At 41.0% G+C, this 21,039-nt stretch overlaps 1 annotated feature.

The window, feature by feature from the left end:
* Positions 243-973: an enhancer, noted in NCBI's record as "OCT4-NANOG-H3K27ac hESC enhancer chr4:168797178-168797908 (GRCh37/hg19 assembly coordinates)". NCBI's record gives its function as "activates a minimal SCP1, AML or CMV promoter by ChIP-STARR-seq in naive H9 embryonic stem cells {active_cell/tissue: H9 hESC(naive)}" and the evidence as "EXISTENCE:reporter gene assay evidence [ECO:0000049][PMID:30033119]".

The raw sequence follows: 21,039 nt of genomic DNA on the forward strand, positions 1-21,039 counted from the left end.
GACATTTGAAATTTTATTATGGTTGTAGCCTCAGTCTCATTTGTTATTTTTGTGAAGAAATTCTACTGTGATGAGATACGCTGTTTTAAATTTTCTAGTTTTTCTAAACATTGCATTTCTGTGAGTAGGAAATATTGTGAACAATGCTTAGTTTGTTAATGTCAATATAATTTTTTTAAGAATAGATATATCATCGTTGGGCAATTTGCTATCAAATTCAGTACAAAATAATTCATACTCAACTGTGCCTTAAATATGCAACATTTAAAGTCATTTTTCTTCTTTTTGTTTTAAATTTATGGTTGTGTACTAGTAATAAAATATACATTAAGTGTTGTGTTATAGCGACGTGGAATTTGGAATGCTACAGAGTTTTAACTATATTAACACAATTTTTAGAGTACCAAGCATTAGCATGAAGCAATAAGAGTGCCACATACATGCATTCTCTTTCAAAACAACTGAACTTCTCTACTGTTGTAATGCAAAGCAGCCATAGACAATACATGAATGAAGAGCATGACTGCTGTCAGGCCTCTGAGCCTAAGCTAAGCCATCATATCCCCTGTGACCTGCAGGTACACATCCAGATGGCCGGTTCCTGCCTTAACTGATGACATTCCACCACAAAAGAAGTGAAAATGCCTGTTCCTGCCTTAACTGATGACACTGTCTTGTGAATTCCTTCTGCTGGCTCATCCTGGCTCAAAAGCTCCCCCACTGAGTACCTTGTGACCCCCATTCCTGCCCACCAGAGAACAACCCCCCTTTTTCCTTTACCTACCCAAATCCTATAAAATGGCCCCACCCCTATCTCCCTTCATTGACTCTCTTTTCGGACTCAGCCCGCCTGCACCCAGGTGTTTAAAAGATTTATTGCTCACACAAAGCCCGTTTGGCAGTCTCTTCACACGGATGCACATGAAATTTGGTGCCGTGACTCGGATGGGCGACCTGCATTAGGAGATCAATCCCCTGTCCTCCTGCTCTTTGCTCCGTGAGAAAAGTCCACCTACGACCTCAGGTCCTCCGACCGACCAGCCCAAGAAACATCTCACCAATTTCAAATCCAGTAAGCGGCCTCTTTTTACTCTCTTCTCCAACCTCCCTCACTATCCCTCAACGTCTTTCTCCTTTCAATCTTGGTGCCACACTTCAATCTCCCCCTTCTCTTAATTTCAATTCCTTTCATTTTCTGGTAAGAGACAAAGGAGACACGTTTTATCCGTGGACCCAAAACTCCAGCATCAGTGATGGACTAGGGAAGGCAGCCTTCCCTTGGTGTTTAATCATTGCAGGGATGCCTCTCTGATTATTCAACCAGGTTTCAGAGGTGTCAGACCACGTGGGGATGCCTGCCGTGGTCCTTCACCCTTAGCATCAAGTCCCGCTTTTCTGGGGGAGGGGCAAGTACACCAACCCCTTCTCCTTCACCCTTAGTGGCAAGTCCCGCTTTTCTTGGAGGAAAGAACCCCCAATCCCTTATTTCCATGCCCCGACCTCTTATCTCTGTGCCCCAATCCCTTATTTCCATGCCCCGACCTCTTATCTCTGCGCTCCAATCCCTTATTTCTGCACCCTGACCTCTTATCTCTGCACCCCAACCCCTTATTTCCATGCCTTGACCCCTTTCCCACTTTTCTGGAAGGTAAGAAACCCCTGAACCCCTTCCCTCCGTGTCTCTACTTTCTCTTTTCTCTAGGCTTGCCTCCTTCACTATGGGCAATCTTCCACCCTCCAGTCCTCCGTCTCCCTTAGCCTGTGCTCTCAAGAACTTAAAACCTCTTCAACTCACACCTGACCTAAAACCTAAATGCCTTATTTTCTTCTGCAATGCAGCTTGACCCCAATACAAACTTGACAGTGGTTCCAAATAGCCAGAAAATGGCACTTTCAATTTTTCCATCCTGCAAGATCTAAATAATTCTTGTTGTCAAATAGGCAAATGGTCTGAGGTGCCTGACATCCAGGCATTCTTTTACACATCGGTCCCTCTCTAGTCTCTGTTCCCAATGCAACTCATCCCAAATCTTCCTTCTTTCCCTCCCACCTGGCCCCTCAGTCCCAACCCCAAGCGTCACTGAGTCTTTCTAATCTTCCTTTTCTACAGACCCATCTGACCTCTCCCCTCCTCCCCAGGCTGCTCCTCGCCAGGCCAAGCTAGGTTCCAATTCTTCCTCAGCCTCCGCTCCTCCACCCTATAATCCTTTTATCACCTCTGCTCCTCACACCTGGTCCGGCTTACAGTTTCGTTCTGTGACTAGCCCTCCCCCACCTGCCCAGCGATTTATTCTTACAAAGGCGGCTGGAGCTAAAGGCATAGTCAAGGTTAATGCTCCTTTTTCTTTATCCCAAATCAGATAGCATTTAGGCTCTTTTTCATCAAATATAAAAATCCAGCCCAGTTCATGGCTTGTTTGGCAGCAACACTGAGACGCTTTACAGCCCTAGACCCTAAAAAGTCAAAAGGCCATCTTATTCTCAATACACATTTTATTACCCAATCTGCTCCTGACATTAAATAAAAATCCAAAAATTAAATTCCGGCCCTCAAACCCCACAACAGGACTAAAGTAACCTCACCTTCAAGGTGTACAATAATAGAGGCACCAAGTAGCAACATATTTCTGAGTTGCAATTCCTTTCCTCCACTGTGAGACAAACCCCAGCCACATCTCCAGCACACAAGAACTTCCAAATGCCTAAACCGCACTGGCCAGGCATTCCTCCAGAACCACCTCCCCCAGGAGCTTGCTACAAGTGCCAGAAATCTGCCCGCAGCCCGGGATTCCTCCTAAGCCGTGTCCCATCTGTGCGGGACCCCACTGGAAATCGGACTGTTCAACTCACCTGGCAGCCACTCCCAGAGATGCTGGAACTCTGGCCCAAGGCTCTCTGACTGACTCCTTCCCAGACCTTCTCGGCTTAGCAGCTAAAGACTGACGCTGCCTGATCACCTCAGAAGCCCCCTAGACCATCACAGACGCCGAGCTTCAGGTAACTCTCACAGTGGAAGGTAAGTCCGTCCCCTTCTTAAGCAATACGGAGGCTACCCACTCCACATTACCTTCTTTTCAAGGGCCTGTTTCCCTTGCCTCCATAACTGTTTGTGGGTATTGACAGCCAGGCTTCTAAACTTCTTAAAACTCCCCAACTCTGGTGCCAACTTAGACAATACTCTTTTAAGCACTCCTTTTAGTTATCCGCACCTGCCCAGTTCCCTTATTATGCCGAGACACCTTAACTAAATTATCTGCTTCCCTAACTATTCCTGGATTACAGCTACATCTCATTGAAGCCCTTCTTCCCAATCCAAAGCCTCCTTTGCATCCTCCTCTTGTATCCCCCAACCTTAACCCACAAGTATAAGATACCTCTACTCCCTCCTTGGTGACCGATCATGCACCCCTTACCATCTCATTAAAGCCTAATCACCCTTACCCCACTCAATGCCAATATCCCATCCCACAGCATGCTTTGAAAGGATTAAAGCCTGTTATCACTTGCCTGCTACAGCATGGCCTTTCAATCCTTAATACCTCCCTCCACAATCCATTATTCTGTTCTGGATCTCAAACATGCTTTCTTTACTATTCCTTTGCACCCTTCATCACAGCCTATCTTCGCTTTCACTTGGATTGACCCTGACACCCATCAGGCTCAGCAAATTACCTGGGCTGTACTGCCACAAAGCTTCACAGACAGCCCCCATTACTTCAGTCAAGCCCAAATTTCTTCCTCATCTGTTAGCTATCTCAGCATAATTCTCATAAAAACACACGTGCGCTCCCTGCCGATCGTGTCCAACTAGTCTCTCAAACCCCAATCCATTCTACAAAACAACAACTCCTTTCCTTCCTGGGTATGGTTAGATACTTTCACATTTAGATACCTGGTTTTGCCATCCTAACAAAACCATTATATAAACTCACAAAAGGAAACCTAGCCGACCCCATAGATACTAAATCCTTTCCCCCACTCCTCTTTCCATTCCTTGAAGACAGCTTTAGAAACTGCCCCCACTATAGCTCTCCCTGACTCATCCTAACCCTTTTCATTACACACAGCTGAAGTGCAGGGCTGTGCAGTAAGAATTCTTACACAAGGATGAGGATCGCGTCCTGTAGCCTTTTTGTCCAAACAACTTGACCTTACTGTTTTAGGCTGGCCATCATGTCTCCATGCAGCGGCTGCTACCACCCTAATATTTTAGAGGCCCTTAAAATCACAAACTATGCTCAATGCACTCTCTACAGCTCTCATAATTTCCAGAATCTATTTTCTTCCTCACACCTGATGCATATACTTTCTGCTCCCCGGCTCCTTCAGCTGTACTCACTCTTTGTTGAGTCTCCCACAGTTACCATTGTTCCTGGCTCGGACTTCAATCCGGCCTCCCACATTATTCCTGATACCACACCTGACCCTCATGACTGCATCTCTCTGATCCACCTGACATTCACCCCACTTCCCCACATTTCCTTCTTCACTGTTTCTCACCCTGAACACACTTGGTTTATTGATGGCAGTTCCACCAGGCCTAATTGCCACACACCAGCAAAGGCAGGCTATGCTACAGTACAAGCCACTAGCCCGCCTCTTAAAACCTCTCATTTCTTTTCCATCGCGGAAATCTATCCTCAGGGAAATAAATTTTTAGTATTCCATCTGCTATTCTACTACTCCTCAAGGATTATTCAGGCCCCCTCCCCCCTTCCCTACACATCAAGCTCAAGGATTTGCCCCCGCCCAGGACTGGCAAATTAGCTTTACTCAACATGCCCCGAGTCACAAAAACTAAAATACCTCTTAGTCTGGGTAGACACTTTCACTAGTTAGGTAGAGGCCTTTCCTACAGGGTCTGAGAAGGCCACCGCAGTCATTTCTTCCCTTCTGTCAGAAATAATTCCTCAGTTTAGCCTTCCCACCTCTATACAGTCTGATAACAGACCAGCCTTTATTAGTCAAATCAGCCAAGCAGTTTTTCAGGCTCTTAGTATTCAGTGAAACCTTTATATCCCTTACAGTCCTCAGTCTTCAGGAAAAGTAGAACAGACTAAAGGTCTTTTAAAAACACACCTCACCAAGCTCAGCCACCAACTTAAAAAGGAATAGACAATACTTTTACCACTTTCCCTTCTCAGAATTCAGACCTGTCCTCGGAATGCTACAAAGTACAGCCCATTTAAGCTCCCGTATAGATGCTCCTTTTTATTAGGCCCCAGTCTCATTCCAGACACCAGACCAACTTAGACTGTGCCCCCAAAACTTGTCATCCCTACTGTCTTCTGTCTAGTCATACTCCTATTCACCATTCTCAACTACTCATACATGCCCTGCTCTTGTTTACACTGCCGGTTTACACTGTTTCTCCAAGCCATCACAGCTGATATCTCCTGGTGCTATCCCCAAACTCCCACTCTTAACTCTTAAAGTAAATAAATAATCTTTGCTGGCAAGGCTATGCCGAACCTCCTTAGGCACTCTCTAATTAGATGTCCTAGGTTCTCCCAATTCTTAGTCCTTTAATACCTGTTTTTCTCCTTCTCTTATTCTGTTTAGTTTTTCAATTCATACAAAACCATATCCAGGCCATCACCAATAATTCTAAATGACAAATGTTTCTTCTAACAACCCCACAATATCACCCCTTACCACAAAATCTTCCTTCAGCTTAATCTCTCCCACTCTAGGTTCCCACACCGCCCCTAATCCTGCTAGAAGCAGCCCTGAGAAACATCTCCCATTATCTCTCCATACCATCCCCAAAAATTTTTGCCGTCCCAACACGTTACCACTATTTCATTTTATTTTTCTTATTAATATAAGAAGACAGGAATTTCAGGCCTCTGAGCCCAAGCTAAGCCATCATATCCCCTGTGACCTGCAGGTACACATCCAGATGGCCGGTTCCTGCCTTAACTGATGACATTCCACCACAAAAGAAGTGAAAATGCCTGTTCCTGCCTTAACTGATGACACTGTCTTGTGAATTCCTTCTGCTGGCTCATCCTGGCTCAAAAGCTCCCCCACTGAGTACCTTGTGACCCCCACTCCTGCCTGCCAGAGAACAACCCCCCTTTTTCCTTTACCTACCCAAATCCTATAAAACAGCCCCACCCTTATCTCCCTTCACTGACTCTCTTTTCAGACTCAGCCTGCCTGCACCCAGGTGATTAAAAGCTTTATTGCTCACACAAAGCCTGTTTGGTGGTCTCTTCACAGGGACGTGCATGAAAACTGCCTTCCAATAAACCTGTATTTATGAACCCTAAAATTTGATTCCAAATGCATATGTCATAAAATCTTATTCTTCTTTTGATATTTTCACCCATTTAAAAATGTGAAGACCATTTCATGCTCACACACATAAGAAATTGCAGGCAGGCCAGGTTTAGGGTAGTTTGCCAACCTGTAGTTTCTGATTTGGAAAAAGAAACTTAAGTATTTAATGTTTACAAGACATAAAATTAAAACTTAAGAATATTAAAAGCTGGGTAGTCAAATAATAACCCAAGAAAGTTGGTAGCATTCTCCTATTTTGTTTTTTTACTTCTTCACTCTGATAGATTTTTGTGTTTTGTTGTTGCTATTGCTAATGTATCCTCACTGAGGTTTGCTAAGCTTCCAAAATCTATGGTTTGATATCTTTCTTCAATTTTTGAAAATTCTCAGGCACTAGGTCTTTTTGCTTGTCCCTTTTTTGTGACTATAATAATATATTTTGTATTATATCATCATAAATAATGGCTATTACTTGATATTGTCAAATGTAAGCCCGTCTGATGAATGTTTTATTTCTGATGGCTCATTCTTTATTTCTAACATTTGCATTTGGGTTTTTTTTTATCATGATTATATATGTACTAAAAGTTCCCATTTTCTCCTGTGTTTTTACATACTTTATTTAACATAATTGCCATAGTTATTTTGAAGTCCTTGTCAGATGTTTCCAATATCTAGGAAATATCTGGGCTTGCATCCTTTCTTGAATGTGAGTCACATTTCTTTGCTTCTTTGTGTGTCTTGTAATGTTTGGTTTTATGCTGGCTCCTAAGTGTACAAGGAAAAATAGAGACTGAAGTAAATAATACTTAAAACCAGAAAAATACACTTTCATTCTATCATTGCATTATTAATGTGAAGGACTAAATTAACTTAATCTGTAATGTAACTGGGCAAGAATTTGATGAAATATTTGTTTGACTCAATACGTAATTTGTTTCTAATATTTTGAGTGCAAAGTTAGAACTGACCTTTCATTGAGACTTAGGCTCTGAGCATTGGTGAGACTGACATATTCTTTTTATGTTTAAAGCCAAGTTACTGGCTATTAAATCTTGGGATCTCTTGGTAACTCTCTCTCTCCTGCTCTCTCCACTCTGTAGACCACATCTGCCAGCTTTTTAGGTTGCTGAAGATTTCTGGGTGCCTCTACACTCTTGTTCAGTTTCCAGCATTTACAACTAATAAAAGCTTGGGGCACCCAGGAGAACTTTCTCTAACCTCTATGCCTTCTTCAATTTGTTAGTAACCTGCCATCACACTACAGCAAGAACTTCAGAAGACTTCCTCTTGGATCCCCTTTCTTTGGCTCTCTTTCCCTGGCTCTAGACTTTGGATCACTACTCCACACACTGAACACAAGGCCCACGGTCTAACATTAGTTAGTAGGTGCAGACATGATTTATTGCTAGGGCTTATCTGCATTCTAATCAGTTCTCTCAGCCTACATATGACAACTACAAGGTTTTTAAAAGTTCAGCTGATTTCTTCATGTTTCCATCTATAATACAACTTCTCCTCTTGTTCTAAAATAATAGCAATTATAGATCTCTTCTGTTTTGGGAATAAAGTAGAAACAGTTTTCCATAAGATGACTTAGCGGTGAACTTTATAAGATGTATTTTATGGGGACTCATGTATGAACTATTTGAGAGCAATTTTGGAATGAGACATATATTTATATTTTACCTAAAAGTATTCATTAGGAAACAATTATTTTTACCATTGCAAAATAATTACCTATCTACCCAGTTGTGAAGCAAATTATAACTTTAATATAAATTCACTCCATTCAAGAAATTTACAGCTAGAATCATAAATGTGAATCAGAAAGTTGGTGTTCTAACTGGTTTATTTAAAGTTGGTGTTTAAACCTCTAGGATAATTCTTACAAATTAACAAACCATAAGAAGTCTAGAACATAAACATACATATGAAAGATCAAATATCATTTTACCAAGTGTCTACTGGGTTTAAGTGCTAACAATAAACTTCATAAAAATTGAGATGTTTTACCTACTTACACAAGGGCTACTGTACACTATTAATTATAATGAAGATCTAGAGTTTAAACACTCAAAAGACTCTGCCAGTTTCCTGTTTTTATACTAGATTGCTATATCAGGTTGACAAATGACACAGACAAATTTATATGTATCTGGTATGCAGAGGTGGCTTAGACCATGAATTCCCTAACCATTGTTAAACACATAAATGGTAACATCACTAATAGCATTAATATTTTATAATATGAATGTCTAAAAAATCACCTTAAATTTTACATGTGCTCTTAAAACAATTTATTTCCTACTTTCTTTCCATTGTTGTATAGTTCTATGAAGTTTAATACATGTTTTTATTTTTATTTTACTTTGATTTATTCCTCCTCTACCTCAATCAGGGTAAAGACCAATTCAATTACCCCAAAAACTTCCTCTTACTCCCTGTTTAAAGCCACACCCTTCTCTACCTCCACTCCCTGAAACCACTGAGTCCTTTTCCATTGTTTTATCTATCTGGGAATGTCATATAAATGAAATCATATAGTATGAAACCTTTTGAAACTGGCTTATTTCACTAAGAAAGTGCATTAGATGTTCATCCAAGTTGGGAGTGTATTGATATATATTTCATTTTTTTATTTCACAGTAGTATTCCATTATGTGGATATACCAGTGTTTATTAAGCTATTTATTTGTTGAAGGATATTTATTTTCAGCTTGAAGCAATTATGAATAATAGTGCTATAAACATTTGTCTATGGGTTTTTAGTATAAACTAAAGAGTATCTGAGAGAAGTCTCAATCAATTTAGAAAGTTTATTTTGACAAAGTTTTGAGGATGCACCAATGATACAGCCTCAGGAGGTCCTGACAACATGTGCCTAAGGTGGTCTGAGCACAGATAGGTTTTATACATTTTATAGAGACATGAGACATCAATCAATATACGTAAGACGTACACCCGCTCTGTCCAGAAAGGCGGGACAACTTGAAGTGGAGAGGGGGCTTCCAGGCCATAGGTAGGCAAGAGACAAATTGTTATATTCTTTTGAGTTTCTGATTATCATTTCACTGAATATATTTTATCCTGAATTTACAGGAATAGTCACTAATGTCTTAGTGTGGCTTAGTTGAAGCAATAGGGCAAAGGAAGCAATCGACTATGGATTTGTCTCACATGAGCAGAGGGATGACTTTGAGTTCTGGCTGTCCTTTGACCACAAGGAATTTCTTTGTGGGAAAACTGTGAGGGAGGCAGGTAGCTTTTGTATCTTTGTAGCTATCTTATTTAGGAATAGAATGGAAGGCAGGTTTGCCCCATGCAATTCCCAGCTTGACTTTTCCCTTTGGCTTAGTGATTTTGCAGTCTCAAGATTTATTTTCCTTTCTCATTAGTAAACATGTTTTTATTCCTCTGTTGCAAATACCCAGGAGTGTAACTGCTGTCATATGACAAGTATATTTTTAACTTTATAAGAAACTGCCAAACCATTTTTTGGATTGGCTATAGCATTTTCCATTTTCTCCAGCAATGTATGGGAGCTCCAGTTGCTCAACACCTTCCAGCATTTGGTGTTATTAGTTCTTATTTTATTATTTTACTCATTCTAATATGTATATATTGGTAGCTTATCATGGCTTTCATATTGATTTCCCTAATAGCCAATGGCATTGAGCATATTTTCATAGGCTTATTTGTCCTCATTTTGGTGTTTATTAAAGTTTTTTCTCAAGTTTTTAAATTCTCCTGTTGTTGACTATTTAAAAATCTTCATATTCTAGATACAAAGCTCTGTACTGTGTTTTGAAAACACAATCTAGCCTACAGCTAGTCTTTTTATTCTCATACAGTGTCTTTAGCAGAGCAATTTTGAGAAAATACAATTTACCATTTTATTTTCCTTTTGTAGATATTTCATTTGGTGCCATGACTCAGAATCCTACACATCTTTGGGTTAAATTTTTTTTCTATGTTTTGTTTTGCATACTTCTAAAATCTATGACTCATTTTTATAGATATGAGTTATAAAGTTGAGGTCGTTTTTGTATATGAATGAGAACAAATACTGAGGTATGCAAGAATCTGAATGAATCTCAGATGCATTATGCCAACTTACAGACTAAAAGACTATCTCTATGATGTATATTTTATGATTCTAATTATATAAAATTATAGAAAGAGGCAAAACTATAGTGACAGAAATCTTCTCAGTAGTTTTCATGGGCTAGGATGGGGGAAGGGGTAAAAATATTTTATGATTGTGTTGGTGTTGGTTACATCACTGTACATATTTTTTCAACCCCATTGAATTGTACATTTAATATTGATAAATTTTATATCAATTATACTTCAACATGATTGTTTAAAAAGGCATGATAAAAGGACCTACAAGTATTGTTACTTTGTCCTAGGTAAAAATATATAATCTACTTGGAAAAGCAATATATAGTTTTTAAAAATCATCAAGTAAAGCAGTAAGGGTACGTGGTGTATCAATGCAGGCTCATAGAATGAAGCAGTTATGAAGGTAAGGGGAACAGAAAACGTTTTGTGAACCAGGACACATTTTGTGAACATGAATGCACTGTGTAAAATATATTTTAAAATAAATAACATTCAGTGATGTAGATAACAAGAACACACCACAGTGAAAACGTAACTGGTATGCATCTGAAGGCATGCTTGCTCATGGTTTCTTGGTGTGGGTGCATCTAATTGCAATAGAGGTGTTCATACTGTAGACAGAAAACAAAGGACGGTTTCCTACTTTTTAGGATTAGCCAGAGTAGTGGATGATGGAAGAATGCTGGTAAAAGAACTGGTTATCCTAAAAGTCATTCAATGAGTTATTCACTTTATCATCTTAAAAAACACTTATTTTAAGGAACATAGCTGTACTCATGCAGTATGTAATTCTTTTATTATTTCTTAGAAAAATCTTACAGCACTTGATAGCATCAGGAGGAAGACAAATGTGTTAGCATATGAAATCCCACCTTCAAGCCAAAGACAGTTTAAAGCCTGAAGGCCAAGCTACAAGTCAAATCCACAAACTGGATTGAGACCCTGTATTCCTGTTTGGCGCACTTTCCTTTGATTGATCCCCATCCTTCACCTATTTTACATATACTTGTCTTTCCCTAATTGTTTTTACACTGTGCCCAACTTTGACTGGTGCCTTCATTTTAAACTTTTTGCATACTCACAAACCAATCAACACACACTGTCTTATCCTGTGCCTACAAAAGCCCCAGACTCAGCCACATTGGGGAGATGGCCTGACTTCAGGAGAGATAACCCAACCTTCCTGTCTTCTCTCTGCTGAGAGCTGTTTCAATGCTCAATAAAATTATCTGCCCTTACCACCCTTCAATCGTCAGCATAACCTCATTCTTCTTGGACACAGGACAAGAGATTGGGACACACTGAACTTGGGTACCCAGAAAGGCTGTAACACTGGCCCTCTGCCTTAGCTGGCAGAGGGCAGCTGCCCCATTCAATGGAAGTGGTGGTGGGGCCGAGCTGGTCCCAGAGCCACAGGCCAGAATGGGGCAAAGGATTGACTGAGCTGATGACATGCCACCATCTATCATGCTGGAGACAGCAGAATTTAAAAAGCTAAGTAGCACACTGTAACCCCCTCTGGGACTTCAGGGTTGTGGGCACCCCAGCATGGGTGTCACAATGTTTCCCTCAGGGTGACATTCCTGGTCTGAGCATGGGCCCCACATGGATCCTGCTCCTGTGTCAGCACTCAGAGTGGTGGCCGTGCCCCACGCTCACTCACTCACATGCTCCCTTCCACCAGTGGCTGAGTGCTTGGTTGTGGCATCCGCAGGAGCCACAGGCCAGAGCACAGGCCAGATGCAGCCCAGCTGACTGAGTAGATGGGGCACCCCCTGCGGTGAGCCCAACAAAGAGGCTGGGAAAAATCCCGTGTCACTTTGGTTTTCTTTGTCAAAACGACTTTCATTGGTTAATGATAGGATTCAAAAGAACAAATTATTATTCACAAAATAAGGCATTTCAATACCTGTAATGACAACTTGACCTTCTTTACAGCTGAAACTATCTATAGCCTATAAAGTTTACTGAAGTTTCTGACTAAATCCCTTTGTTCAAAAGGAAGACTTTCAGGAGACCCAGACCAGTGTCTGAATACCATAGTCCCCATTTTTCATGGGGGATACTTTCTAAGATCCCCCATGAATGCCTTATACCACAGATAGTACTGGATGGACTCTATATATGTGTGGGTTTTTTTCCTATATACGTATATGCATATACACATATACACAGACATACCTATTATAAAGTTTAATTTAAACTAGGCACAGTAAGAGATTGATAAATAATAGCAAAATAGAACAATTCTAACAATACTCAGAAAAAATGCACAATTTAAAACTTATGAATTATTTATTTCTGGAATTTTCTATGTAATATTTTGGACCACAATAACTGAAACTGTAGAAATGGAAACTTCAGGTGAGTGGGGACTACTGTATTAGCCATTACTAGGTCAACATTTTAATCTTTATTTCTTATAACCCAACTTCTAGTTCCTGGGAACCTACCTTATTGACCATGCCAGAGGCTTTTCTTGATATACTGGCCAGTTCCTCCAAGGTGCTGGAGTTGTCTTGAATCTCAGTTCCCCACTATTGAGATCCAAAAGCTCATTGTCAGATTTTTTTGATGCTTCACTGATCTGTTACATTCTTGACTCTCATCGTGCACTTCTGCCAGCCAAGTAGACCACTGACCTTTCTGTCTTAAATTTCCCTCATGCACCACCCATTTCCCTGCCTCTCAGATATCCTCGATTCTTTACCATAATGGTCCATCAACACTCTCCATTACTGTTCAGCGATAATATCCTCCTCTAAAAGAGCAGAAATATCCTTACAGCCACTGATTAATACCCTTGTAGATTAATGTAAATAAAGAATCGCAGTTCATCTGCATCTGCAAGTCTAGCAATCACAATGCCCTTCCAAACATTTGAGACCTGCGTTACAACATCCTTTCCTATTACATCTTAAATCGTATTCTAGCCTGGGTGCAGTGGCTCATGCCTGTAATCCCAGCACTTTGGGAGGCCGAGGTGGGTGGATCACGAGGCCAGGAGTGCAAGATGGTGAAACCCCGTCTGGCCAAGATGGTGAAAGCCTGGCTGAGATGGCAAAACCCCGTCTCTACTAAAAATAAAAAATTAGCCAGGCGTCGTGGCAGGTGCCTGTAATCCCAGCTACTCGGGAGGCTGAGGCAGAGAATTGCTTGAACCCAGGAGGTGGAGGTTGCAGTGAGCCAAGATCACGCCACTGTACTCCAGCCTGGGCAACAGAGCAAGATTCCATCTCAAAAAAATAAAATAAAAATCTTATTCTACACTGGACAGTTTATTATTTATCAAACATATCCAGTTGTTACCTGCCTTATCATGTTGCAATGATGCATCTCCCTATCCTTCAACATTGCTTAGTCAGATCCCTCTGATCTTTGGAGTCATAGCTCATTTGACATTTTTCCATGAAACTATTCTATTCTTCTAAAATGAAGATTATCTCTCCTTAGACTGAACTTACAGGACATTTTGTTTGAAACTTTATGACAGCACAGTTCGTATAGTTTAGATATTTGTCCCCTCAAAATCTCATGTTGAAATGTAATCCTCAATGTTGGAGGTGGGACTCAGTGGGAGGTGTTTGGTTCATGTGAATAGATCCCACATGGATGGCTTTGTGCCATCCTCACCGTAATGAGTGAGTTCTCACTCTGTTAGTTCACTAGAGATATGGTTGTCTAAAAGAGTGTGACACAGACCGGGCACGGTGGCTCACACCTGTAATCCCAGAACTTTGGGAGGCTGAGGTCTGGCCAATATGGTGAAACCCCATCTCTACTAGAAATACAAAAAATTAGCTGGGCGTGGTGGTGCGCACCTGTAATCCCAGCTACTTGGGAGGCTGAGACAGAAGAATCACTTGAACCCATGAGGCAGAGGTTGCAGTGAGCTGAGATGGCACCATTGCACTCCAGCCTGGGTGACAAGAGAAAACTCCATCAAAAAAAAAAAAAAAAAAAAGTGTGGCACCTCCCCCTTCTCTCTCATTCCCACTCTCACCATGTGGTGTGCTTGTTCCCTCTTTACTTTCCACCATGATTGGAAGTTTCTGAAGTTTCTGAGGCTTTCACTAGAAGTAGATGTTAGAGCCCTGCTTGTACAGCCTGTTGAACTGTGAGACAATTAAACCTCTTTTCTTTATAAATTACTCAGCTTCAGGCATTTCTTTATAGTGACACAAGAAGGGACTTACACAACAGTGATTCTATATGGTGATGAAGTTATGTGCACCAATTTCCCAACCTTCATTAGCTCAGATGCTTCTTGAAAACAGAGAAGTGTATTACCTCACATCTCACTGTTCTCTCCAAGAGTTGAAGGACCTATCATAACATAATGCTTATATATTTTTAATATTTCTTACTCTAAATAATTAGATAATAAGCATTTAAATGCCCATTATACACTCAATACTGAGTTAGAAACCAGATGAGAAAACATAAAATATAACTCTATCTTTAAAGTATTTGCACCTCGATGGGAAAGATAAACAAATGAGTACAATTTCTATGCAAGGCTGGAAGTATACTGTGGTGCTTAAGAGGAGTGAAGAAGTTGTATAATAAAGGAAAATTGTTATTAGGGAATGATTTCAAGAGAAAGTGATAGCTGAGCTGAGTTTTGAGTGGGATATATCCTTAAAAAATAGGGAGGGAAGGCCAGGCGCGGTGGCTCACGCCTGTAATCCCAGCACTTTGGGAGGCCGAGGCAGGCGGATCACAAGGTCAGGAGATCGAGACCATTCTGGCCAACACGGTGAAACCCCATCTCTACTAAAAAAAAAATACAAAAAATTAGCCGGGCATGTGGTGGGCACCTGTAGTCCCAGCCACTCGGGAGGCTGAGACAGGAGAATGGCGTGAACCTAGCTTGCAGTGAGCCGAGATTGCGCCACTGCACTCCAGCCTGGGTGATAGAGCGAGACTCCGTTTCAAAAAAAGAAAAAAAAAAAAAAAAAAACAGGGAGGGAAGAGAGGAAGATATTCTAAGAATAGTTAGCAGAGTATACAAAGTCCTTGATATGTGAGAGATGAGTTCAGTATTGCTGAAACATAGACTGAAAAGAGTCATGGCAAAAAAGGGTCTAGAAACATTAAAGGGCATTATTTCCATTGGCACAGGTTTGGCCAGATTGAAGGGTTTTAGGTAAAGTAGTAGCATGACCAGAGTTACCTCTTAGAAATGTATTGGGAGCAAAACTGGTGGCAAGAAAACCAATCATAATGTTACTGCACATTAATGAGAAGGATGTGAAGGAACATGAAACAGTTGCCTATTGGACATGAAAGGCCATATTCTAGATTTAAGGATATATAATATTTATTTTGGAAAACAAAGGAGAGGAAAAAAGAGGTGGGAATAATACAGTATGATCTTCAGATTATTTCATGACTATAATAGAAAATTTAAGAAATAAAAATAATGTGGGGTGAAGATAAATTTCTATCTGAAGAGGAAAATGATTCTATAATTATCTGTGGATTGTTGAACACATAATACTGGGTCTTGGCTTATGATATTACAAGGCATCATAAATGTACTGGTAGTTGCACAAGACTGAGCAACTAGGTTATAATTATCTCTGGAAAACGAAGCAGAAAAATAGGAAAAAGAGTTGAAGAGTATTTTTAAAATGGTAGTTGAATGTGTAAAATACGTGGTCTAAGTTAATGTCTCTCAAATTCATAACACATCTACCCAGTTAGGGGAAAGTCCCCCCTTCTTCTTACACCCCATCTATGCCCTCATTTCCATGGTAAAGTAACTACACTGATAACAAAGAATTAGAGCAGTAACAGAAGGTGCTTTAAAATTTTGTAAAAGATCATTATAGTTATATATTTAATTATAAATTTTTAAAAGTGAACAAAAGTTGCCCAAAGGTCTTTTTAAACTGAATCTTATCACATGCTATAAATATTTTAAATAATAAAAGTTTGCAGGCAGCATAACACTTATAAAATGTGACCTTCATGCAAATTTTGGGGCGATTATTAAGATGCAAGAATATAATTTTCATGGAAATATTAAAATATGCATATATTTATTCTGAAATTGGCATGTTTACAATCAGCCCAGATCAAAATAAATTGATATTTTGAAGCTAAAACAACAGACTACTTTTTTAAAATCAAATTTAGCATAGCTTACAAAACAAAATATATATCATTTCATGTTTTTTGTTTTGAGACGGAGTCTCGCTCTGTCGCCCAGGCTGGAGCGCAGTGGCGCGATCTCGGCTCACTGCAAGCTCCGCCGCCCGGGTTCACTCCATTCTCCTGCCCCAGCCTCCAGAGTAGCTGGGACCACAGGCGCCCGCCACCACGCCTGGCTAATTTTTTTGTATTTTTAGTAGAAACGGGGTTTCACCGTGTTAGCCAGGATGGTCTCCATCTCCTGATGTCGTGATCCGCCCGCCTTGGCCTCCCAAAGTGCTGGGATTATAGGCATGAGCCACCGCGCCCGGCCCATTTCGTGTTTCTTTAAGAAAAATACATAATGCAGGAGAGTGGCAAATTCTGGATGTTGCAATGACTAGAAAGCAATAAGGAGAATGAAGTTCAATACTCAATTCTAAGTTATGTGTTCCAGTCTCTTGTTGATATACTGTGTTCCTGTGTAAATTTTCACCGTTACCTCCAAATTTCTAGTAAAACTACAAGGTATGGAGTTCACTCACATGTTGCTTTGTTCAAATTAAATATATGTATTAATATTTTACATATTGCTTTGTAAAATTAAGTATAAAGGGCTTATGTCCAGGTATGTGTTGGTGCAGGTCAGAGACAGATTGATCAGAAGTGCAGAGAATCAGTGATATAAAACACTCAAAGAAAGGAGAAAATTGAAGCAAGAGATCATTAGTAGAATTATAAACCCCTTGAGAGTTTTCATACATACAATGAAAGGAAATGATTTTACAAAGCTAGAAGTTTTGGGAACATGCAAAGAGATGACTTCTTGGTTACATTAATATAATCAGATATATATGGATATGATAGTTCTATTATGTGCTTTTGGGGCCTTCATTGTCTAACCTTATGTTATTAAATTCTAGAAAACTGTTGCAGGTATAATTACTTATATTTTAATGTTATCTATTTTCTTTATGTGAAATCTAATGTACTTTATTAGTTCTACTTAAAAGTCCATTGGTGTTTTTGGAGTAACTCTAAATGTTTCACTAAACAGAATACATTTATGCATGTGGAATAAATGGGGTAAGCTGGAACTAGTTTGATGTTTTCCTTATAGTCTCATAACATATCATTTCGCCATTATGTACTGCAAAAAAATTGCTGATATTGATGGCATAATAGAAGTAGTTCCTTTCAGAATACACAAGTGGCTCAGAAACCATAATCATCGATATCTAATTGTGTGCTTTGGTTTGTATGGTGCTTCTCTACCTGTCAGCGGTAGGGCTTTGTGGATAAACTATAATTCCAACCAAATGATTCTGAGAGTCAGTAAAATCTAATAAGCCCCACAATTTCAAAGAGATGTACACTGAAATAGATATGCTTGGTGATTGTTTGCAGATGTGATCACTGGCTTGAAACTGCAGACGCTCTTTTTCTTAAAACAGTAATAAAACTGAGTATTATCTGTATTGAATGGATGTAACTTTATATTACTTTCATTATACCACAGAGGACAATTTATGCAATGCAAAACTTACTTTAGAAAAAAAAGAGTTCCACATATCACTTTCATGCTGGCTTTCTGTTCAATGAAATCCTAGTTTATTCTGATTCTGAAGAGAGACTTGAAGAGGTAAAATAATGTTAAAATGCATGCCATTTTAGTTTAGATGTCCCCATTTGGATTCACAGCATGCTATAGAGAAGTATTTGATTGCTGATGTCGTGTAGGAAATTGCTTTATAAAAGCCATGCTGGATTTTCAAGCCAGGACCAAATGATGACATTACCATTTGGATTATTTCAAAAGGACTGAATATATCACTTTTTCTTTGTTTTCCTGTGGTTTCACTGGTCATTTTTGGTTTTGCTTCCCACCTCCCCATTACCCACACTCCCCATCACACACACATCTGAGAGGCAGAAACAGAGAATTGAGGTGAAGACCATTGGATTTGGAGGCAGGCAAATATTTGAATTTGGAGTCTCAGTTTGGGCCCTGTCCAACCTTTGTTCTTTAGCTTGCACAAAAAAAACCCTCTATACACCAGTTTCCTTAAGCACAAAATAGAATGATAAACCACCTTATCTCTTTCACGTTTTTAATCCATATTTCTTGAGAGGCTATTATGTTCCAGGCACTGGAAATATCTAGAGAAGTAGATAGAGGGCAAATCATGGGGAGTGTGTAGTCCATGTCAAAATACTTAAACAATTTAGTTTCAAGGCAACTGGGAACTAATGATCCACTCATCGGATTTGTCTTTCTCTTCTGGGATCATGGTAGACAGGAGGCAAGACTAGATTGCAGCTCCAGACAGAGCAGCATGCGGAGGCTTGCACTGTGAATTTTAGCTCCAGATTGACTGCAAGAACAAACCAGCAATCCCGAGAGGAGCCACAGACCCTCTGAAGGAAGCGGCCTGCTCCTGCAGGACCCTGGAGACACCCAAATACTGTGAGTGCCCCAACTGGGGAAGTGGGAAAGGGAGACCCTCCTCCCCCGAACACACAACCCCACTGGAGAAGCTGAAGGTCTGCTTGCGGAGAAGTTTCTGACGTTACCTGGAGCTGAGTCAAGTTAGAGAGCCCAGTGAAATACAGGGGCAGAGGAAGCAGCAGGAAGGCCCTGGGAGCTTGCTGGGTCCCCAGCAGCCCATTCCTGGTTGGCACCACAGGGATCCATCGTGAGGGTGGCCTGAGGAGCAGGGGGTAAAACTCCACAGGTAGAAGCACTTCTCTTGGTGAACTCTGTAATGATTTGAAAGGGGCAAGAAGCCCCCCTGGCCAGAACTTGGGGGAGGGCGCGAATCGGATATGCAGACTTCACAGGTGGGGAAAAGCTAACACCCTTTTCTGTGGCAGCTGGGAGGCGGATAGTCTCAGACAACTTTTCAAGCCCCTCTGGCCCTCCACCTGGAAACAGACTCGGGGCTGTCAGTGGGGGCATGGTGGGAGTGAGACCGGCCCTTCAGTTTGCATGGGAGCTGGGTGAGGCCTGTGACTGCTGGCTTTCCCCTACTTACCTGACAACCTGCATGACTCAGCAGAGACAGCCATAATCCTCCTAGATACACAACTCCAGTGACCTGGGAATCTCACCCCCATCCTCCACAGCAGCCGCAGCAAGACCCGCCCAAGAAGAGTCTGAGCTCAGACACACCTAGCCCTGCTGTCACCTGATGGTCCTTCCATATCCCCCATGGTATATAACCTGGTATATAATCCTCCCTGGTATATAAGACAAAGGGCAAATAATCTTGGGAGTTCTAGGGTCCCGCCCACCATTGGTCCCTCTCCACACTATGCAGCTGATGCTTTCTGTAAAGCACCACCTCCTGGCAGGAGGTCAACCAGCACAAAAATAGAGCATTAAGCCACCAAAGCTAAGGACTCTCATGGAGTCCATTGCACCCTCTGCCACCTCCACTGGAACAGGCATTGGTATCCACAGCTGAGAGACCCATAGATGGTTCACATCACAGGACTCTGTGCAGACAACCCCCAGTACCAGCCTGGAGCTGCATAAATTTGCTGGGTGGCTAGACCCAGAGGAGAGACAACAATCACTGCAGTTCAGCTTATAGGAAGCCACATTAATAGGAAAAGGGGGAGAGTACTACATGACGGGAATACCCCATGGGACAAAAGAGTCTGAACAACAGACTTCAGCCCTAGACCTTCCCTCTGACAGAGCTTACCCAAATGAGAATGTAGCAGGACGAGCTGCAGACAAAACCTCTCAGGCACCGAGTTATGGAAGGAAGGGCTTTATTCACCTGGGAGCATCGGCAAGCTACTGCCTCAAAATCCGCGCTCCCCGAATGCTCAATTTCTGTCCCTCTTAAGGGCTCACAACACTAAAGATTTCACATGAAAGGGTCGTGATTGATTTGAGCAAGCAGGCGGTACGTGACAGGGGCTGCATGCACGGGTGGTCAGAGAGAAACAGAACAGGGCAGGGAGTTTCACAATGCTCTTCTATACAATGTCTGGAATCTATGAATAACATCGGTTTCTAAGTTATGAATTGATTTTTAACTACTGGATTTAGGCGAGGCAGGCCCAGGCCTGGTTTCAGGCCTGGTGCCAGGCTGCCTGTCTTTGGTTTTACTTCCTTGTTGTTTTTCTTAAAACAGGTACTGAGTATAAAACAATATAAAACAATATGAGAGGGTCTCTCTCCTCCCTCAAAAAAGAACCAGAAAAACAACCCTGGTAATATGACAAAACAAGCCTTTTCAGTACCCCCCAAAAATCACACTGGTTCACCAGCAATGGATCCAAACTAAGAAGAAATCCCTGATTTACCTGAAAAAGTATTCAAAGCTTAGTTATTAAGCTAATCAGGGAGGGGCTAGAGAAAGGCAAAGCCCAATGCAAGGAAATCCAAAAAATTATACAAGAAGTGAAGGGAGAAATATTCATGGAAATAGATAGTTTGAAGAAAAAAAACAATAAAAAATTCAGGACACTGTG

The sequence above is a fragment of the Homo sapiens genome, chromosome 4 (assembly GCF_000001405.40).
Source record: "Homo sapiens chromosome 4, GRCh38.p14 Primary Assembly".
In the NCBI taxonomy this organism is placed as follows: domain Eukaryota; kingdom Metazoa; phylum Chordata; class Mammalia; order Primates; family Hominidae; genus Homo; species Homo sapiens.